At 43.2% G+C, this 25251-nt stretch overlaps 1 long non-coding RNA gene across 2 annotated transcripts in view; it reads right to left on the bottom strand.

The window, feature by feature from the left end:
• Positions 1 to 8203: 8203 nt before the first annotated feature.
• CSRP3-AS1 (CSRP3 and E2F8 antisense RNA 1) overlaps positions 8204 to 25251 on the bottom strand; it is a 116546-nt gene continuing 99498 nt past the window's right edge. Inside the window, exons 5-7 of one of the 2 annotated variants that reach the window (NR_183672.1) lie at positions 19979 to 20301; positions 13101 to 13272; positions 8204 to 10830 (exon numbers count right to left, since the gene is read on the bottom strand). This is a non-coding gene — a long non-coding RNA (CSRP3 and E2F8 antisense RNA 1). The remainder of the gene's footprint in view (positions 10831 to 13100; positions 13273 to 19978; positions 20302 to 25251) is intronic. The other variant, NR_183675.1, reaches the window with a different exon arrangement.

Raw genomic sequence — 25251 nt, 5'->3', positions numbered from 1 at the left:
TCCCTTGATAACCTCACCATTACCAAAGGGACTGTGGATTGGTAACCTGATGGGTCAGAGTCCAGATTTTTCAGTGGGGAATTTTTTTTTATAAAGTTACTTTTCTTTAAAGGTCAATAACTATAGAGTGCTCTTTTCTCCTTCTTACCTCCAATTAGGGCTTCTTGTCTTCAGAAAAAAAAAAAAAAAAATCTGGCCATAGCTTTCTTTCTCTCTACCTTCTCTGTATTTGTCCAAAAAAAAAAAAAAGGGACATGATCTATTCTGCAGATTGAGACAGAGAGACAGAGAACTCTCTCCAACTTTCAGCACAGCTGAACTTGCTATTCCCAAGATTTTGATTTAAACTGGAGAAGTGGAAAAACCCCACTCCTGAATCTAAGCCAGACTCTACAATTCAGCTTTTGCCAAAGGCCCTGTCTTGTGCCAAGCACATGTACAAGTATTAATACGGTTATGCTTTGATTCCCTTTCTTCTGTTTCTGAGTAGCACATGTGTCCTCAATTGCATGAGAAGAGGTCAGGATCTAGCCATTGCCTGGTTTTTTAACCATCACAAGGGACCAAACATCTCCAACCACAACAGAACCAGAGTAAGGATTGGAGCCCTGGCTGTCTTTCTCCATAATTGGCTCTCTCTACTTCTGCATCAGACCATAGATATGCATCATTGGTTTCGTTGCTCACAAGTTTCATGCACCTTTATCTTCCCCTTTGTTGGGTGTCTTGTGCTAATTATTTTTTTAGTTGGCTGAAGAACTTCCTTAAGGAGTTATTTGTTTAAAGTTACATGAGTAGCATACTGGCTGAGACTGGGTCTTGAATATTTATTTATTTTGCCTTCACATAAGAAGAATCATTAAAATGATTATAGAATTATAGGGTATCTATTTTTTCCCCGCTAAACTGTATAAACATTGCTCCTTCGTATTGCAGCATTTAGTGTTGCGGATTAAAAATCCAATAACAAAATGACCCTCTCTCCTTTGTAACTGGCTTATTTTTCCTTTTTAAAAGATTGCATGATTTTTCTCTTGGTTAGAATTCCAAAATTTCAGACGTATATAGGTTTGTACCTTGATAAAAGTGAGAGTTTGAGTCTAAATTCACATTTCTTCTGTTACGAGAAGAAATTTTTTTATGTTTCCTTGATTATTGTCTCTCCTTTATGCACTCTGTTCTCTACTTCAGTATATTTATTTTGTGGTTCTTGGACCTACTAAATTCTATCTTATAAGTTTATCATTTATTCTCATAATTTCTATCTTTGTATTTTTGCTCTGCATTCTGGGAAATTTCTCTAAGTTGTCTTCTAATTCACTAATCTTATTTTTAGCTATATGCCCCTTCTAACAGTTACTGTCTCCATTTCTTTTTTCTATTTTGTTCTCAGGATTCTTTTCTATTGCCTGATTTCCTCGATTTTGTGTCAAACTTTCTCTTATTTTGTCAATTAAGTGTCTTTTAAAATACCTCTGAGAATATTCATTAAACTTTTTCTTCCATTTCCTACATTAGCCCTGTTTCAGACAGAAACAGTCACTCCAAATTCTCAGCCTGATCACCTTCCTTTGAGCTCCCGATTCTCCTCATAGTTCTGACTTGTTCTTTGCTTTTCGTTAATCCTAAATGAAGACCTATCCTGGTCAAGACTGATGGCTGATATGGATTTCATCAGCTACTACAGAGATCATTACTTGAGTTCCTCTCCAAAGCCAGGTGTGATAAGATAGAAGAAAGGGGTTTTAAGGTGGGCCTCTCTTTGGGTCCACAGGCTGAGTGCAGGGTAGCCGACAGATGACCCCCTTCAGGCCCAGGAATGGCATCATCAACTCCCAACAGAGCACAGTGTTCACACCTTGTGCAACCTGGGGATGAAGGCTGTGGTCAGACTCTCTGAGTGAAGCTAGACAACCCCCCAAGTCTTTAAATTTGACGCTTCTCTCTACACAATGACACCCTGCTTCCTACCTCCCACACTTAATACTCATCCTAAATTTCCTAATCACTCCCATTGTATTAGGCCATTCTTGCATTGCTATAAAGAAACACCTGAGACTGGGCTATTTATAAAGAAAAGAGGTTTAATTGGCTCACAGTTCTGCATGCTGTACAGGAAGCACAGCTCCAGCACCAGTTTCTTGGGAGGCCTCAGGAAGCTTACAATCATGGCAGAAGGGAAGGCAAAGCAGGACCAGGCACTTCACATGGTGGAAGCAGAGCAAGAGAGAGTGAGCGAGGTGCCACACACTTTTAAACAACCAGATCTTACAAGAGTTCACTATCGCAAAGACAAGCACCAAGGGGGAATGGTGCTAAACCATTCATAAGAAATCCATCCCCACGATCCAATCACCTCCCATTCACCTCCCACCAGGCTCCACCTCCAGTACTCGGGATTACATTTCAACATGAGATACGGATGGAGACAAATATTCAAACTACATCACCCATATATACCCTTAGTGATCAACACTGAGTAACCGTCTGGCTTTGGTGATTGATAGGCTTGGGGAGGGAGCAGGATGATTGCAGGAAGATGCACAACCTTCCGGCCTGGACAACAAGGTGTGCCCCCAACAGACTATGAGCATTTGGAGAGCAGAGAGTGGGTCTTATGCCCCTCTATTTTTAGCCCCTAGCACTGTGCCAGCACACGCTGCCTGCTTGGTGAGTGACAATGGAAGAAACGATGTGCACTTCCAAACCAACAGTCTTTTGTTCCAAATTTGATGCTGTTTGGCAAGTCCTTCTCACCCCCATCATTACTCATTCCCATGCCCTGGTTTGACCATCTTTGGCACAGACTTCAAGGTTGGCTCAAATATCGCCTTAAAGGAAAACTTCTCTGCCCTTTCCTGTGTACCTTCAGACCTCATCATAACACCTGTTGTACTCTGTACATTTGTGGTATAGGCTCCAAACAAATGTGAAAATGAATAAATGCACAAATAAATAAACCCCCCACAAAACTGTGATCCCAAGGCAGAGATCACATGCCATTCAATTTCGCATCACTGATGAGAATGCTTCAGCCTGGCACCTGGCACAGAATGGCCAATTATCGTATAACTGAATTGAACAATACACAGAGTATGATTATCCCCAAATTAGGGCATTTCCATATTATTGTCAAACACTAGGAAATAAAAAATACTTAATGATGGAGTCTCAGGCACCATATTCCCTTAGATTCAGGCAGAAGAATGACAGGAAATTCATTACTGGGCACCCTAAGACATGCCAGGCACTGTAACAGGCACTCTCATCATCATAAAAGAGAAGATAATATTTATCAAGTACTTACCTACTGCCAAACAATGTTTTAAGTATTTCATATATGAAAACATATTTGACAGCACTGTCAGATAGACGTTAACATTGTCCTTACTTTTTATAAGAGTAAGTCAAACTAAAAGGTGATGTAATTGTTCAAAACTGCAGAGCCAGTAAGTGGCAGAGCTAGGATGTGAACCCAGGCAGTTTGGTTCTAGAATATGGCTCCAAATAGCTGCAGTATTCCAGCTCCTTCATATAGTGTCCACACCAACCCCAAAAGGTACTATTCCCCCATCGTGTAGATCAGAGAACTGAGGCTCACAGAGTATGTAATTTCCTCTCATTCAGCCAACATCTATAGGTTAGACACTGGAACATGGCAGCGCTGGCAGGGAAGCCAGGTCTGCCAGTTCTCAATCAATGCCATCTCTGCCACACACACACACTGCTCCCCTTCCTCGCCTCCCTGAAGTGGGGGTGCAGAGGGCAGCCTCTTGGCTAAGCATCACACCACAATCCCCAGATGCCTCCATGATATAGTACTAGGAAACCCTGGGAAGCCAATAACATGCTTCACCCTTGGGTGTCCTGAGCAGATTGGGGGCCCGGCCATGTGGACATTTGAGAAGCACCTATGATCTGAAGGCTTGGCGTTAGAATGGCTTCCATTTACTAGGGACTGGCTATGGGCCTGAGATATTATTTATATTCAGCATCTCTTAATTCTCTCCACAATACCATGGGACAGCTATTACCACCATTTTACAGATTAAACTGAGTCTACAGAAGATGAAGTTCCTGCCCCAGGTCTCTCAGCAGTGAGTGGCAGAACTGGATTTTGATCCCAAGTGTGTCTGACACCAAAATCCATGATCATGACAGAGAGGTTTAGCCTCAAATTCACCTTCACCTTCCCCGCAGGCCTGCTTTACAACTGTCAGGCTTGTAAGAGAGTTGGTAGGAAGAACTAGAAGAGGAGGGTGGATTTGGCCCAGAGAAGAGTGAGAAGAATGTCTCCAAAAAGGAGCAGGAAATGGTGAGGAGGGTTGCAGGGCACAGAAGTGGTAGGGATGTGGTGTAAATGTAGGGTCTTCCCAGTGCCCATCTCCCAGGGGAGATGGGCCAGAGAGAGGAGACCAAAGAGAAGCACGTTTTAGAATGTTGAATGCACAGCTAAGGAGTCTGGTCCTGGTCCCGGGTGCAGGTGAGGAGTCGGTGCCACTGGCCACAGGTCCTACCTCTGGACTCTACAGAGAAGGCCTCCTAGGTCTCAGGCTCAAGGTCAGAAATCACTAGATGTCCAGGCTTCTAGCCTCATCCACTGTATATGCCACATAACAGGGTCCGTTCAAAGGCTCCATGCTGGGGATCACAGTAGAGGCACAGCCAGTGGCTGCTGGTGGCCACAGAGGGCCAGCCCTGGCTGGGACTTTGGCTTCCCACTCTCCTCAGATCACACACAGCCACAGCCCAGCAGCACGGCCTTAAGCCAAGTCTGATTTTGCCTCTGGGACTGAGAAAAAATGAGCTCTGCTACTCACAAAGGAAGGCCGCTTGCCAACAAGTTGCTCTTTCACACTCTTTTTGGAGCAGACACAACACCGGGTTCGACCAGCTGAAATCTTTCCCTGAACAGTTTTCTCCCAGGCATCTCCTCCCCAGTCTTTACCTGGCGTAAAGCCTGTTTAAGATCAGCACACGGTGATTTATGGAAAGCTTTGAAATGCCCAGCGTTGTGCTGCTTGCAGTGGGGCAATGAGAGTTTAAGGCATAATTCCTGACCTCAAGGAGTTTGCAAAATCTCTGCAGGAACTAAACCCACCACAATAACACCAACAGTAAAGTGTTACATTCAGTTGGTGCCCATTTATCACATTAGTATGCCTTATATTATTTAACCGTCAAAATAGTATAGCAAAGACAATTACCAGGACTTTATGACCTGGTGTTCCTGTCTGTAATGTAACTATCATTGGTGGATACTGGAGTTGCAAATGGAATGAAACATCAAGTTTTTAAGTTCCCTAGTGATCAAAAGATGGTAATCTAATAAAGTCCAAAACACTAAGAAAAAAAGTATTTAATTAAAAAATAAAAAATACCTGAAAGCCCTATCTGACCTCCCAAATTAAGGTGAATTACAGGCCAAAGGACAGAGAAGGTAAACAGTGTGTTAGAAAATACATGCACGGGGTCTTCATTGTGAGGTCTCCCATGTACACATGTTAAATAAATTTGTATGCCTTTTCTCCTATTAAAAAAAAAAAAAAGGATAGGAAAATGCATGCATGAGACCCATGCCACAGTTGGACCAGAAGGGTCTCCTTGGAGGAAATTGTCCCACTTAGATGGACCACTGCATAAACAAATGCCCAGGGACCCAAGAAGGACCGGGTGAGAGAAGATGCCAGAACAGCCTGTGTCATCCAGGCTAGGCCACAGAGGCCCGAGGCCTGTGGAGGCTCCTGCTGGCCCTGACCCAGCAGCACACTACTCTGATGATCAGCCTGCAGACATCACTGAGGAAGCTGAGAACTTCAGGGACAGATGCAGGGGTGCTTGGTGGGGGCAACTGGATACCTGCAGGCCTACAGCTATAGACCCACTCTGTGTGACCTTGGGCAAGTCACTGCCTTTCCAGGCTTCATTTTCTTCCTCTGTAAAACAAAGGACTTGTAGAATACCAGGGATTCTTTAACCTCCAGGTTGGGGGATTATGAATCCCTCTGGTAACTTGAAAGTTACAGATTTGTGTTCCTTGGGGAAAGGAATGCATACATATTTGGCATAAAATATCAGGGATGTTTCCACCAACATCTACCCTCCCCAAAAGGCCCCTAGGTAACAATAAGGCTAAGAGATCTCCAATAATCATTTTAGGCCGGGACAAGATAGGTTGAGGAGGCCTGGACAAGATTTGTAGGAGGTCTTCAATGCCAGGTTCAAGCAGGGTTTAGGGTCTTAGACTCAAGCAGTAGGAAGCCACAGTAGGTAATAACTGAGAAATGATATGCTCAAAATACCCCCTGGTCCAAGTTCTGTGACTTCTTCAACAAGGACCTAGGACTAAGCAAGCCTACAACAGACACAGAGATGCCCATTTGCTGCAGAAGCCGAAAGATTTGTTGTTGATATAAAGTGATATAATGACCCCGAATTCCTAGGAGAAGGATCTTGCTGAGCCCATAACAGCTGAATATATTCATCTCCTAGGGCCCATATGCAAGCTTGAGCCCTAAGCCTTTTAGATTCAAGATGCTTCTTGGCTCTCTGGCCAGCTTGTGGACTCATATGCTTACCTGTAAGTCCTGCTCAGAAGACATCTGTCGCTAACTCCAGTCCAAGCTGCCAGTTGGCTGAAAGGGGTGGAACAGAAATTCAGGACCCCGCGGACACTGTGAGTTAGGTTTTACATCTCCTGCTTAAGACATCAAGTCAGAGCTAAGGTCTTGTCTTAGTGGAAACTCATCTCTCTTTCCATGTCGTGAGGGGAAGGGGCCTGTGAGCTGGAAGAACAGATGCAAGAAAAATTCCATGCATGAGATGGGAGGAGGTCTCAGTGCAAGGCTCTTATTCCTGGTTGCACATTAGAACCACCTGAGGAGCTCTCGAAATATACTGATGCTGGTTTCCACTTGGCCAGGTGAGTCAAGGCTCCCCAGGTGGTTCTAATGTGAAGCCATGGCAGGAAACCACCATCCTAGGCAGCCCACACCTTTAATAAATCAGCTACAGGGCTCTAAGACCAAAAGAACCCTAATGCAAAGCAGTCAGCAGTGAATGGCACAAGCCATGTGCAATGCCTGAGAAAAACCATAATTCCGACTTGGAGAAGGTTCCAGAAAGCTTCTTGGAAGAGGTGTCCTAGAGGCAGCAAATCTTCAACAAGCAGACATGGAGGTGAAGGGCACTCCAGACAGAGACAACAGCTTGAGCAAAGATCCAGAGGCAGGAGAGTGCTGGGGAATCAAGTCCCTGTGCTCTTTGAGGGGAATATCTCACCAAGTGAACTCTAAAACGCATTTTATATGAAACCTGGCCCCACAGTTCCTGCATTCTTTGAGCCTGATTGAAAATGTTTCTGAGGCCGAGGCGGGCGGATCACGAGGTCAGGAGATCGAGACCATCCCGGCTAAAACGGTGAAACCCCGTCTCTACTAAAAATACAAAAAATTAGCCGGGCGTAGTGGCGGGCGCCTGTAGTCCCAGCTACTTGGGAGGCTGAGGCAGGAGAATGGCGTGAACCCGGGAGGCGGAGCTTGCAGTGAGCCGAGATCCCGCCACTGCACTCCAGCCTGGGCGACAGAGCGAGACTCCGTCTCAAAGAAAATGTTTCTGACTTTAGTGCTTAATTTTTTCTTTTTGAAAGGACTGTTCTTAAACTTGAACTGGAGGTGAAAGAGGATGAAATGATAGATTTCTGAGTAATTGTTAAAGGCTTTTCACCGCTTTTTAATTTGCTTCCCTGGAAATCATCCTTGGGAGGGAGGCAAGAGAAATGTAACTGATTTTCTAGAGGAGGACAGGAACAAAGGTAAGTTCCCCCACCCCCACAAGGCCACACAGGTGGGTACCATAATAGTATCCTGTTAGCAATTCTGCTTACGCTGGGCAGCCTATGCTTCAGTACATAGAGCCCAGCCGGCTGGATCACCTAGAAATTTGGAGAGAGGAGCCACAGTGCTATGCCAAGGCTAGAGAGGGCAGTGACAGAAATTCTCCATAATTCACCAGTCTCATCTGTTCATTCGACCAGGAACAAGAAACTAAGAAACCAAACAACAAAGTGAGCCTGGCCCTGCTGTAGCTTGATAAATGGGGAATCAAATTAATCTGTGTAATCTTTCAGTATCCAAAACTGCAGGCATACTTAACACATGCTTAGATGTCCATACCCTAGATTATTATCAGCCATTTAAAATGATGCTTTTGAAAAAATTTTATTGACATTGAAAAATGTTCCCTCTATAATATTAAATAAAATTATATCTGATGTCATGGCATTATGAATTAATTCATTCATTCTGTAAATGTGCCAGGTATTGTTCTGGGAATTAAGGAACTTGCAGTGAACAAAACATGAAATCCCTCATGTTGTCAAGCTCCCATTCTAGAGAAGGAGACAAACAATGAAAACCTAAGTAAAGGACGGTGTTAGATAGTAATAAGCGCAGTTGAGAAAAATGTATCCAGAAAGATAGGAGAAATTTTTTTCTCCTTGATGCTTTAAAGTATTTTCTAACAATTTTTTTTAAGAGATGGGGTCTTGCTAGCTGTCTAGGCTGGAGTACAGTGACGCAATCATAGTTCACTGTAACCTCAAACTCCTGGGCTCAAGGGATCCTCCCGCCTCAGCTTCCTTGAGTAGCTCAGGTGTGTGCCACTGCAACTGGCCCAGAAAATATTACATGTAGGATCAGAAAATATACATACTTTTTAGAGAAAAAAAGCAATACCAAAAAAGTGATTACATTAAGAAATGAAGTTGGTTCACAACTTGGACCTAAGCTGGGATATGAACATGTGACTCTTTTGGTAGACTGATGTCCTACTGCCAGATGAGGGAAACAGACATTGGCTAAAGAAGGCAGGGCCCTGGTCTGCAGTGACCCAAAAGATAAGGCATTTAGTGAGGCAGCAGCCTGAGTCCCAGATCCAGGCTTGGATTGAGGAATGTGGCGTTAGTGGAGTTCTCAGAATCAGGACAGTACTGACAGCAAGATGTCCCTGGTGCCAGTATCCCCAAGCCCATCCCAAAAGTTTCAAATATGCTTGGATGTGCTTCCCTAAATAAGGCAAGGATTGATCTCTGAGCCCAGGGTGGAGCTGAGGCTGCAGGAGGTGAGGGGCGTTCTAATGTGACCTTCCAACGTGACATAACTCTCACAGTAGGCAGATAAATCAATGACTTCCACAGTGAGTACTTGAAAGTTCCATACAAGTTTCTGTTATCTTTCTTTTTGCCTTTTTCTGGGGCTGTTCGAGCCCAGCTACCTTACCCCGGCTCTGCTGAGGATGGTGCATGGACCTGTGAGCCAGTGAATTGGCTAAATCTGTCAGGAGACCCGTGGCCATCAGGAGACAGCAGTCTGTACCAGAAGGACCGTTTGCCTTCCCTTGGGTCCGGGACACTCCCCAAGGATATTCTAACTCCAGGTGCACCTTTCTGCCTCCTTCCTGGAAGGGCACCATAACACAGAGGGCAGGACAGGCAAGAGTCTAAAATGTGGCTTGGCCCTCCCTTAGTCACGTGATCATGGGCAAGGTATTTAACCACTCTGGGACCCTGTTTTCTCATCTGTAAACTGGGGGTTTCCCCACCTCAAGTAGTCTTTGAGAGAATGAAAAGAAAGCACCTTGGCAGAGGGCCTGGCACCCTACAGGGGCTGGGTAATTGTAACTGTTGCTGTTAACATTATTATCTTCCTTCCTGTTCTCAGAGCAGCCTGGCATCCAGCACAGGCTTTTCTCCACCTGAACCCCAAAGAACTCCCTCAGACCTTTCTTGCTGTGGCCTTGGACCACACCACTTGTGTGGACAATAGTCTCAAGAGTGAGTCCACAAGGATTCGGTTTTGAGGGAAGAAGAAGAAGATTGGAAGTTTTCCTAGGTCTGGGTCAGCCCAAGCCAACCAATTCTTCTCTGCTCTCTGCTGCCCCCTCTTGGTTCCAAGCCTGAAGAGCCAGTTGCCCACTCGTCCATAGTGTTACACCTCCTGTGGAAATGAGGATGAAAGAGGAGAAATTGTAAGCAGTTTAAAGAAGAAAATAAGCAAACAAAAAACTGGAGATTTATAGACATGCCTGCCTTGCCCTGCCATTGGGACACTAATGGCTCAGGTGCCCCTGTGATCTGAGGCTTTACAAAAAAATGGAAACCAGGCTTTGCCTTTTACCCATTTGGGTGGGGGCGGGTCCTTACCGTATCTCTAAAGAAAATGAATTAGAGAAAATTCTACAAAACCTGGCAGGAGGGTTACCGTTTCCCCCATTCTTAGGCCTATGTCAGGCATTACCAAACAATTACTTCATTTTTTTTCCTGCTGAATGCAGACCCAGCCTCAGAATCTTTCTCAATACAGCTGTACTCCGAGCAGCCAGTCCTAGTCATTGGTCAGAGTTGGTGCACAAGAGCTGAGGGCTGCAGCCAGAGAGAAGATGAGGATCAAAGCTTCCTGCTGTGTGCCTGCTCTTATGTCAGCTTTCTCCAGGTGACCTGGATACTTCATCGCTGCAACAGGGTAGCACCGGGCTTCGGTTCTCAAAATGTACAATCGTCCCTCGGTATCCACAGGATTCCAGGGCTCCCTGCAGAAACCCAAATCTGTGGATGCTCAACTCCCTTATATAAAATGACATACTATTTGCATATAACCTATGCATATGCTCTCATGTGCGTTAAATCATCTCTAGATTATTTATAATATCTAATACAATGTAAATGCTACATAAATAGTTGTTATATTGTTATTGGCTTTTATTTGTATTATTATTGTTCTTTTCCTTCAAATAGTTTCAATCCTTGGTTGGTTGAATCCGAGGGTGCAGAACCTGTGAATATGAAGGGTTGACTGTATTAGCAATTTTATTTAGAAAATCTGTAAATAAGGTATCACTAAATTGGGACTTCAATGCATCACTGAGCCACAGGGTGTGTTGGTATTTTACTGAGGGAGCTGAAAAGATTGCTGGTAGGCGGGAATATTGCCCAGGCTGAGTCACCTAGGAATGGCAAATAGGTGCGTACTTGGATGATATTAAGTGATGTATTTTCCTCCAGTATCTCTTAAAGCTGCTAAACTGGACCATGAAGCACCTGTTGCCTCCTGATTGGGTGATTACAGCAGAACAGAGGAGAGCTGTACAGCCAAACCCTTGGAATTTAAGGTTGCAAACCTTTCCAGACTCTTGAGCTACAAGACCTGGGCTTTTGAGCTTCAGTTGCCTGAGTCCTGCAAGCAGCCTGGGGATGAAGTTGATGCTGTAAACAACAGACCTGGAAGAAACCGTGACCAGTCTGAACCACTCCTTACCACTCCCCACGAAATAAGAACTGCAGGTGCTGTTGCGAGAGGAGGAGGAACAAGCAAATCAATGATCTCCAATGCAGGGAGGCCCCTGAGGAGGAGGCCTGCACACTGTTCACTCCCCCAACCCCTGGTCCAGCCAGGCCCCGGGGCAGGATAAGTTAGGCATTTGAGAGCAGATGAGACTGAGGCTCACTTCCTGGGTAAAGCCTGGGCATGTGACAAGTCTGACTGAAGTTTCCCTCCCAGAACCCAGCAGAGAAAGGAAAGTTAAGTAGAAATGGTTGCAAGAAATGTAACCTGTATTTTTGTATAACAGCAGGGAGAAATCTAATCTCAGACAATTTAATACGATATTATTCAGTCCGGTGTTTCACTATCTCTCCTCTCTTGTGGTGGTCATTTTGTTTTATTCTGTTTGAGGTTGCCAAGGCATGGAGGAGGGAGGGGGAATCTGTTCTTGATCATCACCTGTCCCCTTGTCATTCACAGAGCTGTCCTGGACTGTCTGGTCTCCAGGCATTAGTTCACACGAAGGGCTGCTCTAGTCACCTTGACCCATGGCCTGCTGAGTCTCCGTTTCCTAATCCACAAGACCACATTCTATTGCTTTTCGTGCTTTGTGAGGGCATGGGAGGGCCCTGGGAGACTTCTACTTATTGCTAACTTGCAGTGTTAGCTTAGGCTAATTACATAATTAGATAAGTTCTCCATAACTCAGTCTCCTCATCTGTAAAATGAGTATAATAATAGTACTTAGCTCACAGGGCTGCTATGAGGATTAAACAAGTTAACACATGTTAAGTGTCTAAAACATTACAAATGTGTCAGTTCATATTATTATTTGCTACTACTAATAAAGGGGCAAATGTAAAAATGGCTCTATATACAAACATGAAATACTTAATATTTATCACAGGCATTCTGATGTGCCTTCCTGGATAGGAGAAACAAGGAGAAGTTACAGCCAGGGCTTTAGGAACAGCACACCATACTGGAAAGTGCCGATACTCTAAATCAGAACCAACAGAGGAGTCCTGGAGATGCCTCTGTGCCAGGCATGACCCCTTCAATTGCTGGATGGTGAAGAGCAAGTCTTGGAATGAAAGGGCAGGTGGCCAAGGCAATAGGTGGAGTGGGAGGGGTGGGGACCTCCAGGGGCTCAGGGCACTGGCTCTTTAACCAACAGAAGTTACAGCACTTTACTGTTTTAGCAACCAGTGTTGCCTTACCAGTCTCAGCTGGCTGACTCACCCCCACACTCCAGACCTGGACATACCCACAGTAGCATCCTATGCATGTGAGCATCATTCCTTTGTTGTCATGAGACTGGACCCACTCAGGTGAGAGTAGGAAGAGTGAGGAGTGGGCAGAGGGGCTTGTTTGGCTGCCCCTTGGCTGGATGCTTAGCCAGGGCAACTCAGAAAGAAAGGGCATAGCTCAAATCTAGTTAGTACCAGATGTCCCGCCTGACTAAGCACCTTGAAGCCAGCTTACATGTCCTCTTTGTGCAGGGCCAGCATCCAATATGAATAGCCTCCTGGAAACCAGGCTCTGTCCTGGGCCAATCCAGATTCAGCTGGCCTTATCCTATGTGTATAGCTCCTGGATTCTGCAGTCCTCAGGCTCTCTGCCTGGCCTGATGCCTGAGGTACTTCATTGGCTAAGCCTTACTTTCTGCACATGGGTTTCTATCTGCAATGGTCCCTTGGATCATATCTGCTTCTGGAGCAATGTCTGAGCCTGACAGCAAGTAAGTATTATCTATTGTGCCAACTTATTGGAAGCACCCACCTGGAATTCCATGCTTGAAAAGTGGCCCACTCGGAGGCTGGAGGGTGGAAGGAGTGGATGATCACTTAGCCCTGTCTATCAGAGGATCAGGGAGTAGAAGAGACAAGAAGCATGTGGTCTGTTGGTCATCCCTACCCCAGGCCCATCAGCCCAAATGTGAATTCTTCAGCTCCTGTGCGAGAGAATTAGGCACACGGATAATTAAGAAGAAAGGAACAGATCTGGGCTCTGAGAGACTCATGAGGTGGATTCACCAAAATCTGGAAGCAATCACCAAAATATCCTAGGGGACCATTAGCAACTTACCAGGCCATGGCCTAGGACCACCTGTCTTGTCCCATCAGTCCTTACAGGTAGGTTTACTAACAGTCTCACTCAGCCTGCGACTGTTTCTATTTCAGCACTCAAAGTCCCACATCCCAGAAAATCCCTCAGTTCCAAGCAAATTGGGACAGTTGGTCACCCTACAGACAGAAGACATGTAAGGCCTTACTTGTCCCTATGCCCAGAACTGATCCTGAAGCCTAGTAAACAGAAGAACACAATCCTCTTCAGAGCGGAAGATCCCCACAAGAGCCTGACTCTGAGGATACTCGGTGGGTCTTAGATAAAATATGTGCCCAAGATCCTACAGACTTTCAGTTCCCCTGGTGCCTCCTTGTGGATGAAGATGAAGCATGGGGGACCGTGGAGAGAGATCCATCTGGAGCCGGGGGACTGAGTGGCTCTTCCCTTCTCCAGGAAATAAAACCTATGGGACTGCATTTACACAGCCCATCTGCGAGCAACTGACTAATCACAAGGAAAGCACAGAGAAAACGCAAGATGCTGTGACCACAAGGTAGGGCAAGCATCTCTCTCTTGCAGAGGAAAATACACGTGGAGTCAGACTAGTTTCACCCTTCCAACTCTTATTTTTCCCGCTCTGCAAATCACTAGGGAGTACCACCCTTCTTTAAATTCCTAGTCAACTGCCCTCACACAATAAGCTACCTGCAACTAGGAAGAATGCTATTTAGGTATCCCAGAGATTCCTGGAAAGAAGAAAATATTCCTTCTTGTTTGTAGAAATTTTACTTTTCAAAGCTAGAAAAAAGGAGGAAACAGAAGCAGGGCACAGGGTAAAGTCATTTGCATTGGTCAAACATTCAAAATTAGCCATCCAAAGGGAAGGAGGAAATTGAAAATTAACTGCAGCTCCCTGGTTTATGTCCTTTCTGCCTTCAACTTGCTAAGAAAAAAATCTCCATTTGCACTCAGCTATGTCTGCTCAAGGGGACATCTGTCAACCTGGAAGTTTAATTGTTGGTAATAGTATTTCCCTGTTATTCGGGCACCACACAAATAGCATAAATATGATTTAACCACCCTTGCCAGAAATCACAAATTTGTGTCATGCATGCTGAACGCTAAGGCTGATTAGCACAAAATTTAATTTTCGTTAATATCAGCCTAGGACAAGTAGAGCATGAAATTAACCTGATGTGTTAATATTGTGCTTCACCGTTCTGACTGTATCCTGTAGACGCTGTCAGTGGAGACAGGTGCCGCTCTGCATGGGAAGAACTCTAGCAATCGGCACAGCCTGGGGGGAGCTGGCTCAGGACGTGGTGTTCCCTGCAGCTGTAGGCAACCAAGGAGGCATTGGATGACAATATCGGAAGCACTGCATAGGAATCGGATGTTATGGTGGGAATTAAGGACTAGTAGCCTTTGAGGCCCTTTCCAATGCTGAAGTGCTGAGATTTTGAATCTTAAAAGTTCCACAAGTCAGATGCTGTTACCCAAGAGAGGAACTGGCAAACTATAGTCTGCAGACTGAATCCAGCCCACTGTCTGTTTTTGTACAGCCCTCAAGCTAAGAATAAGTTTTACATCTTTAAATGGTTGAAAACATTTAAAAAAAAATTCATGATGTAAAATGTATGTGAAATTCAAAGTTCACTATCCATAAAGTTTTACTGGAACTCAGCCATGCCATTCATTTTTGTATTGTTTATAGCTGCTTTTTGTACTACAACAGCAGACTTGAATAGTTGCAACAGAGACTATATGAACTGGAAAGCCCTAAATATTTACTATCTGGCTCATTACTGGAAACGTTTGCCAACCCCTGATCTAAGACAATAATGGTTTTTCAAATGGGCACTTTGGAGAAGGGACCAGGACATTAAGAGAGAGGAATGGCACTTCAGGCTTTAGCCAAGGCAGCTGCCCTTCTATCAGTTGTACATAATGTGCTTTTGTTTGAAAAGAGATTGTAGCTAAACAAGGTCCAGGACACACATTAATAGTTCAAAACCCATTTCCTTTGGAGAGGCACATTGTGGTTTGAAAATGGTGGGCTGCTGGCCGGGCGCGGTGGCTCACACCTGTAATCTCAGCACTTTGGGAGGCTGAGACGGGCGGATCACAAGGTCAGGAGATCAAGACCATCCTGGCTAACACAGTGAAACCCCGTCTCTACTAAAAATACAAAAAATTAGCCGGGCGTGGTGGCAGGCACCTGTAGAACCAGCTACTCAGGAGGCTGAGGCAGGAGAATGGCATGAACCCAGGAGGCGGAGCTTGCAGTGAGCCGAGATCACGCCACTGCACTCCAGCCTGGGCGAAAGAGAGAGACTCCGTCTCAAAACAAAGAAAAGAAAATGGGAAAATGGTGGGCTACAAGGTGGCTTCAGGAGAGCTCCAGGAAATTGAAGACTAGTCCAAAATTCAGCTGAAACCAAATCTACATGTGTGCCTGCATGCATGCATGACCACGTTACTCCTATAAATAAGGGGTTTGAGGCCAGGAGCAAGTATGCAGTGAAATATCTTATAATCCTCATGGAACACATTTCAGGAATTCTTCTCTGTAAGAGGCTTCCCTTCCCTCTTTGCCTGGCAAACACTTACTCATTTTAAAATAAACATGCTCATATTATTAATCTATTAAACCATCCATGGTAGACCAATATCTACCGCAAATCCCTAGAATCTGTGCTCATTAGCTTATTTGGGGAAAGGGTCCTTGCACGTGTGATTAAGTTAAGGACCTTGAGATGAGGAGATAATTCTAGATTATCTGGGTAGGCCCTAAATGCCATCACAAGAATCCTTATAAGACAGATACATAGAATACGGGACACACAGAGGAGGCAAAATGACAACAAAGGCAAAGATTAGACCTGCTGGAGTTTGGAAGTCTGGCCTCCAGAACCCTGAGAGAATAAATTTCTCTTGCATTAAGCCACCAAGTTCATGATAATTTGTTGAAGCAGCCTCCAGAAGCAAATCACAGTTATGAAAGGGTTTTATCATAAATGGTTCCACAATTCTGATACAATTATTTTCATTACGTTGCCATACTCAAAAGTATCACTCAAAAGCCCAGTCAAATTTCTTTTCATATACTGTAAGAAGAGTATGAGGTAATTTAAAGCACCTGGCACATACTAGAGACTTAATAAATAAGAATTTCTTTCTTTTTTAGAGGCAGAATCAGTTGCTCCAACCTTTGAGTCACATGACATGATGCTTTATGCATGTTTTAATGAGCAGTTACTTTTCTCAACTACACTTCTGTGTTCTCAATGTCAATCACCCCTACTAGAAGGCTATAAACTTCTTGGGGACAATAATCATAATTCATTCTTCTTTTTATCGTAATTTACTTTTTATTGAGGTTTGACTTACTGCTATGGTTTGGATGTTTGTCCCCTTTGAATCTCATGTTGAAATATAACCCCCAATATTGGAGTGGGGGCCTGGTGGGAGATGATTACATCGTGGGGGCAGATCCCTCATGAACGGCTCAGCACCATCCCCTTGGTGATGAGTGAGTTCTCGCTCAGTTAGTTCACACGATATCTGGTTGTTTAAAAGAGCCTGGGACCTCCCCCTTCTCTCTCTCTCTCTCTCTCGTTCCCTCTCTGGCCATGTGATGTGCCTGCTCCCCCTTCACCTTCTCCCATGACTGTCAGCTTCCTGAGGCCTTCCCAGAAGCAGATGCCAGCACCATGCTTCCTGTATAGCCTATAGAACCGTGAGCCAATTAAACCTCTTTTCTTTATAAATTACCCAATCTCAGGTGTTCCTTTAGAGTGATGCAAAAATGGACTAACACACAGATATATAGTAAAGTGCCCATATCTTAAGTATATATCAAAGACTGTTTACAAGTGTTTACTTCTGGGAAACTACCACCCAAGTCAAGAGATAAAGCATTTCCCGAACCCCAGAAGGTTCTTTAATGCCCCCTCCCAGTCAATACCTCCTGTAAGAGTGGCTGCTATTCTGATTCTTTTGACGTTAATGAATTTTACCTGCTCTTGAATAGATATATTCTTTCGAATATGGCCTCTCTCACACAGCATAATATTTTTGACATTTATCCATCATTTTACTGGATGGACTCTGGGGAGTTTCCAGTTTGGAACTATTACAACTAGTGCTGCTAGGAAAATTCTTGCACTTATCCTGCCATCGAAGAAAGCACACATTTCTTTTGGATATTTATAGGAATAGGATCACGGGGCAGGTATACAGCCAGATTTAGTAGATACTGCTGAATAGTTATTTGTAGAACTTAACTATGGGCATATCTTGTTTTATTGTGCTACATTTTATTGTACTTTGCAGTTATCGCATATTTTACAAATTGAAGGTTTGTGGCAACCTTGCATCAAGCAAGCCTATTGGTACCATTTTTCCAACAGCGTGTGCTTACTTCATGTCTCTGTGTCACATTTTGGTAATCCTTGCAATATTTCAAAGTTCTTCATTGCTATTATACCTGTTATGGTAGTCTGTGATCAGTGACCTTTGATGTTGCTATTGTATTTGTTTCAGGGCACCACAACCGCACCCATACAAAAATGTGAAGATAATCAATAAACGTTGTGTGTGTGCTGACTGCTCCACCAACCAGCTGTTCCCCCATCTCTCTCCGTCTCCTCAGGCTTCTCTATTTCCTGAGACACAACAATATTGAACGTAGCCCAATTAATAACTCCACAATAGCCTCTAAGTGGCAAGTAAAAGGAAAAGTCACACATCTCTCCCTTTAAGCTAGAAATGATTAAGCTTAGTGAAGAAGACCTGTCAAAATCTGAGATATGCCAAAAGCTAGGCCCCCTGAACCAAACAGCCAAGTTGTGAATGCAAAGGGAAAGTTCTTGAAGGAAATTTCAAGTGCTACTCCAGTGAATACATGAATGATAAGAAAGTGAAACAGCCTTTTGTGATATGGAGAACGTTCTAGTGGTCTGGAAAGATAAACCAATCACAACAGTTTCTTAGGCGAAAGCCTAATCCAGAGCAAGGCTCTAATTCTCCAATTCTATGAAGACTAAGTGAGGTGAGGAAGCTGCACAGGAAAAGTTTGAAACTAGCAGAGATTGGTTCATGGCGTTTAGGGAATGAAGCCATCTCCGTAACATAAAAGTGCAAGGTGAAGCAGCAAGTGCTGATGGAGAAGCTGCAGCAAGATATCTAGAAGATGTAGCTAAAATGTTTGATGAAGGTGAATACACTAAACAACAGATTTTCAGTGTAGACTAAATAGCCTTCAGTTAGAAGAAGATGCCATCTAGGACTTTCATAGCTAGAGAGAAGTCAATGCCTGGCTTCAATGCTTCAAAGGACAGGCTGATTCTCTTTTGAGAGGCTAATGAGGCTGGTGACTTTAATGCTCATTTACCACTCCAAAAATCCTAGGGCACTTAAAAATTATGCTCAATCTACTCTGCCTGTGCTCTATAAATGAAATAACAAAGTCTAGATGACAGCACACCTGTTTATAGCATGGTTTACTGAATGATTAAGGCCACTGATGAGACCTACTGCTCAGAAAAAAAAAGATTCCTTTCAAAATATTATTGTTCATTGACAAGGCACCTGGTCACCCAAGAGCCCAATGGAGATGTACAAGAAAATAAATGTTGTTTTCATGCCTGCGAAGACAGCATCCCTTCTGCAGCTTATGGATCAAGGAGTAAATTTGAATTTTCAAGTATTATTTCAGAAATGTATTTCACAAGGCTATAGCTGCCATGTATAGTGATCCCTCTGATAGATCTGGACAAAGTTAATTGAAAACCTTCTGCAAAGGATTCTAGATGTCTTCAGGAACATTCTTGATCCATGAAAGGAGGTCAAAATATTAATATTAACGGGAGTTTGAAAGAAGTTGATTGCAACCCTCATGGATGACTTTGAGATCATTAACTTTAGAGTTCAAGACTGCAGTGAAGGAGGTAACTGCAGATGTGGTGAAAATGGCAAGAGAATTAGAAGTAGATTCTGAAGATGTGATTGAATTATTGCAACTTTATGACAAAACTTGAACAGATGAGGAGTTGCTTCTCATGGATGTGCAAAGAAAGTTGTTCCTTGAGATGGAATCTATTCCTGGTGAAGATGTTGTGCATATTTTTGAAATTCCAGCAAAGGATTCAGAATATTATGTGAGCTTAGTTAATAAAACAATAGCAAAGTTTGAGACGATTGATTCTAATTTTGAAAGAAGTCTACTGTGGGTAAAATGCTACCAAACAGCATCACGTGCAACAGAGAAATCTTTTGTGAAAGAGTCCATGAATATGGCAAACCTCAATGTTGTCCTTATTTTAAGAAATTACCACAGCCACCTCAGCCTACAGCAACCACCACCCTGATCAAGTCAGCAGCCATCAATGTCAAGGCAAAACCTCCACCAGCAAAATGATTACAACTCATTGATGGTTCAGATGATTGTTAGCATTTGTCATCAATGAAGTATTTTTAAATTAAGTACATGTGTTAGACATAATGCTATTGCACACTTAGTAGACAACAGTATAGTGTAAACATAACTTTTATATGCACTGGGAAACCAAAAAAATTGTGTGACTCACTTCATTGTGATATTCACTTTATTGCGTGGTCTGGAACTGAACACTCCAATATCTCTGAGGTAGGCCTGTACTTTTGTTGTACAGATCTTCATTTTCATTAGCACTGTCTGAAATTTGGAGCAATGTGTCAAATCCTCACCATCCTTGTCAGTCTTTTTAATTTTAGTCATTCTGGCAGTGGCTAATTTGTCTTTATATTCCTCATGTACAAGGTCAAAATTTGTAGTACATGACCCTACCTTCCTTCCTGGCCATAGGGATCAGGCACAGTTATCTAACCAAAGGCCAGGTAAACCACAAGCCAGCTACCATCAGATGCTGCCCTGCAAGAAAAAAAAAATGAGTTGGATCAATTAGATTTTCTCTCTCAGAAATAATGCAACCAAATGAAGAGAATAACACAGCCTTCAATGGGAGCAAATAATGAAATGCTGTAATGGCTATGATTCATCAATACAAGCCAAAGATATGGGAAAAAGGAAGGAAGTAGAAGCTATAACAGAGAAACAATGCAGAGTAAAAGGGAAAGAAGCCCACTGAGACCAGGACAGAAAGAAGCAGGTACTGTGAGAACAGCAGTGAACCAGGCCACAGACCTCAAGGCCTTGTTCTGAGGCCACTGGAGTGACCCTATATCAATTATACCTTAATAATGCTATTTTTAAAATGGAAAAAATAAAGTCAACATGATTTAATTTATATGACATTCTTGAAAATAAGGCCTTGGGGTAGGGCCTGTTCTTGAATCTCCAAGATATTCTATATCCCGTTCCTCTTAATAAACACCCTTGCCATAAGCCTCTCTTCACTTTAGCTGAAATAACTTGAGTGGTCCTTTGTTTCCTTTAACTAAAAACATTCAACTGCCATGCCTGGTACATAATATCAGTGATGTGCTAGTAAATGTTTAACAACCAACCATCTAAGAATCAAAGGCACTGATTTGAAGCATTTACCAATATCTGTGGTGTAAATACTCCTCCCATGGCCAGTTTCCAGCTATTAGTGTGACATCGCCAAACACAAGAGATGGGAAATAGCATATAATTATATAGTATATTCACTGCACAGATGCAATAAATGTAAGTAGCCTCAAGAATGTAGTTAATAGTAAAATAATTAGTTGAGTATTTATACTCAACTTGAGTATAATTATTTATTGCCTTTGTCTTTAATTTATTTAATTAAAGTGTATATATTTTTTATAATGATGGTGTTTAATAACTGGCTCACAAAACTCCTGCAAATTTAACAATCATCTCTTACAAGCTGATACAACTGACTCTGACACACCCACTGAGGTAGATACTCACTAAATGTTTGCATCCTTTCTTGCCTTCTCTGCGTTTTCACAGGCTCCTCATTGTGTGGAGTTCGCTGCCTGGCTCCGCAGCCAATGGCACAGCCAAATATGAGCAAAACAAATCATATGATGATAGTGTTGTACTCAATTTTCCACAGTAGATTCCCACTGGTGATATTCTAAACCATGGAAATAGACATGTCATAGCTGTATTTACCCAGACAAAAGAGTGCAGCTTTTTGGTTTGGGAATTTGATTTGTTTTTATATCATCTAAGAGCAGTACACAAGCAAGCGTGTAATATGTTAAGTGGTCACAGGAACTTTCTGATTCACTGGAATGGTCCCTTGATCAAAAGCCCAACAAATATCTGAGCTCCATCCACAAGCCCACTACTGTGGACACAGTGAGAGTTGTAGTTTTTGCTGTTAAAAGGCTTTCAACGGTAATGGTACTGATGAAGCCAGTGGACATTTATTAAGTGCTTACTGTATAACAAGATTCTTTTCTAAGTGCTTTATGCAGATAAACCCAATTAATCCTCACAAGACCCTTTGTGGTAGATACTGTATTGTCTTCCTAATTTTACAGATAAGGAAAAATGACACAGAGACAGAGGTTAAACAGGAGCCTAAGGTTAACTATATGAACCTAACTATCTAACCCCAGAGACCATGCTGCTAAACACTGGGCCACTCACCTTAGGACAGTAAGATACAAACACTGTTATATAAAGAAAGACCACAATGAGAGGTTGTCTGTAAGTACATTAGGAGTAGAGAAGGAAGTAGCAAGTGTGGGCTGAATTATTCTCAAAGGATAACTTTAAAGGACCCTTTAGACATTGGGTGGTGGGGAGGGCTAAAGCGTAGACTTGAAGGATGGGCAGGATTTGGAGAGATCAAAAGGGCCAGGTGGTAGCTTAAGGGAAAGAAAGCCACCTGAAGGAGGGCATAACAGTGGGAGTGAGCACTGTGCCTCAGAGTACATGCAGAGAACCATCAGTTTGCTGAAAAGCAGTGACAGTAGAAGTTGAGGACACTTTTAGGGTGATGGGTATATGTTCACTGTCCTGATTGTGGGGATGATATCACAAATGTATACATAACCAAGACTTACGTGTTGTATACTTTTGTATGTGCATTTTATTGTATATCAGTTATACCTCAATAATGTTGTTTTTAGAACTAAAAACAATAAAGGCAACATGATTCAATTCATATGACATTGTAGAAAATAGGAACAAAAAACAGGTCAATATTGCCAGGGGCTAAGAGTAGGGGAATGGGTTGATGACAGAAGTGTGAGGGAATTTGGGGGTGAAGAGGTCATGGAAGTATTCTATGTCTCGTGTTCTCTATCTTAATTGTGGTAAGGATTACATGATTGTATTTTTTGTCAAAACTCAGAACTGTACACATAAGAAGGATGAATTTTACTATATGTAAATATATTTCAATAAATCAGACTTTTAAAAAAGTTAAAAGATTACACACACACACACACACCCATATGACTTGTATGTGTTTGCTTGTTAACAGTGATAAGTAAATAGAAAGTAAATCTTTCTCCTCCTGCTGGAGCTGAAATGCTGGAAAATCCAAAGCAGGCTTAAAGACTGACTTCCCATCTATGTACTGTCTTTTATACTTTTTAAAGTCTTTTCAAATCTAATGTCATTTGATCCAGTTGCCAACCCTAGAAGGAAGGGAGGGGAAGGGGTTACATACTGATTGGTGAATGAGGAAACTGAGGCCAGGGAGGTTAAAGACTCTCACTCAACATCACGCAGCTCAGAAGCGGTGAAGTCAGGACTAGTGCCAGACAGACCTGGCTTCTAGTCTGTTGCTCTTCCCATGTGCAGCACTGCCCCACTCCACCCCATCTCCAGCTTTGCAGGGTCCTTCTTGATCAGCAATCCATGGTCTTGTGCATCCAGAGGGAAGGACTCTGAATCAAGACCCTCATCCTGTAGGAGGCTTCTCAGAGCCTGCCCTCTGCCTTCAAATCATGGTGGAACCACAGGTAAATCATGTGGACAGCACCTGGGTACATCCCACAGGTTGTGATGAGAGGACACTTTACCTTGGTGGTCTTCCTCCCAGAAACCCATAACCCCAGTGTAATCATGAAAAAAATACTTTGCAAACCCAAATGGAGGGACATTATATAAAGTACCTGACCAATACTTCTCAAAATTATCAAAGTATCAAAATAAGGAAAGACTGGAAAATTATAACTAAGAAGACACAACAACTAAATGTAATCTGATATGCTGGATGAAATCCTGGAACCGAAAAAGGGACATTCATGGAAAAGCTAGTGAAACCTGAATAAAGATTATAGAGTTTAACTAACAATAGTAACCTGTCAATGTTTGTTCCTTAGTTTTTCTGAACGTACTGTGGTGATGTAAGATGTTAACAATAGGGAAAACTAGGAGAGGGGAACATGAGAACTCTTCGTATTAATTTGTAAATTTTCTGTAAAAGTGAAATTATTCCAAAATAAAAAGTTTATTTTTAAAAAATCTCAATGGAGGCACTAGATGCTATTGTCCTTCCTGTTGAATCTTCTCTGAAGAAGCAAAGGGAATATTTTGTTTTTAGCCAGGATAGTCAATTTTTAAGCCAGGGGCAGGAGCTTCTCTGCTTCGGCTCATAAAACCCCACACCAGGTTGCCTGGTGGTGAGAGCCATCCACCTCTTCCCATCCAGAGTCACTCTGCCTTCTCCCCATCAGCAGCACCACCTGGCTCTTTGAACTCAATAAAGGCATCCTTTATTGTGCATCCAGACAGCTGAGGGTCAGAGGGCAATGGCAGCCTCATCCACTGCTCTCTTGAAGCCTGGCTGGTCAGATCCCCTCTGGGCAGGACCACTGCTGGGGCAGGATTTCCAGTGCTCCCAGTAGATATAGATAAAGAAGCATGGGTGTATGTGTGTGTGTGTTTGAGTGTGTGTGTGTGTGTGTGTGTGTGAGAGAGAGAGAGAGAGAGAGAGACAGAGAAAGACAGAGAAACAGAGAAAGAGAAAGAAAGAAACAGACACACAAACGGAGAGAGACAGACAGACATACAGGGAGACAAACACAGCTGATCACTGAGTGAGGACATTATGGTGAGTGACCTGAAACGGGCTCCTAGAAATAATCTCTCAGTAGGGAAGCATCAAATCCCTTTGGAAACCAATGAAGCAGGAAAGTGGTGTTGACCAATCTATTGTGCAGGCCTTTTTTATTATCAGTAAATAATGAAAGGCTGAAACTGTCCTATTACCAAGACTAATAGTTTCCGTGACTCTCTCCCTCTCCACACCCCACCCTCTGCCGGCTTTTGGTGACCAATTTTTTACCCTGCATTCTGCCTCTGATAACACAGTAGTCCTTTCTCTTCCAGGCCTCTCTCCTTCCATCCTCCTTCTCCTCTTTGTCTGCCTTAAAGGATTATTCTGCTTCCCAAATGTGGACACTCACATTGAGGTCTCATCCCTGCCTGCATTCTTGGAAGCAGCCGTAGCCCACAAAGCACAGTCCCCCCAGGCCATGCCTCCAGGGCATCTTCAGGGCCCAGGTGGTCTGCTGGCTCCGGTACTTCTACAATGAGTAGAGTTATACAATAAGTACAATCAGGATAAAGACTAGACTCCCAGCACTCTTCCTTCAGAGTAACATTGACACATTTACTCATAAAATGAATCTTCCCTTCTCAACTGATTCTCAACTGGTTTATTTAGGGAAGGTGAAGTTTCCACTCAGGAAACAAAAATAACATCAGAAATTTTAACAGAGATCATTTAGTGTAAATCATTGCTCACCAGGAATTGGAGAACTGAGATGGCAGAGAGGATAATGCTGAAGTTTCACAGAGATAACTACAAAGTGGCTATGCCACCATGGCTGGAGGAACAAAGAGAAGAGTCTAGGGCAACTAGGACCTAGAGACATGAAGGAACCCTTCACAGAGATGGAG

This window comes from Homo sapiens, chromosome 11 (genome assembly GCF_000001405.40).
Source record: "Homo sapiens chromosome 11, GRCh38.p14 Primary Assembly".
NCBI classification, from domain to species: Eukaryota; Metazoa; Chordata; class Mammalia; order Primates; family Hominidae; genus Homo; species Homo sapiens.
Note: the sequence above shows the minus strand (reverse complement) of the source record. Positions and strands in the feature narration are given on the sequence as shown.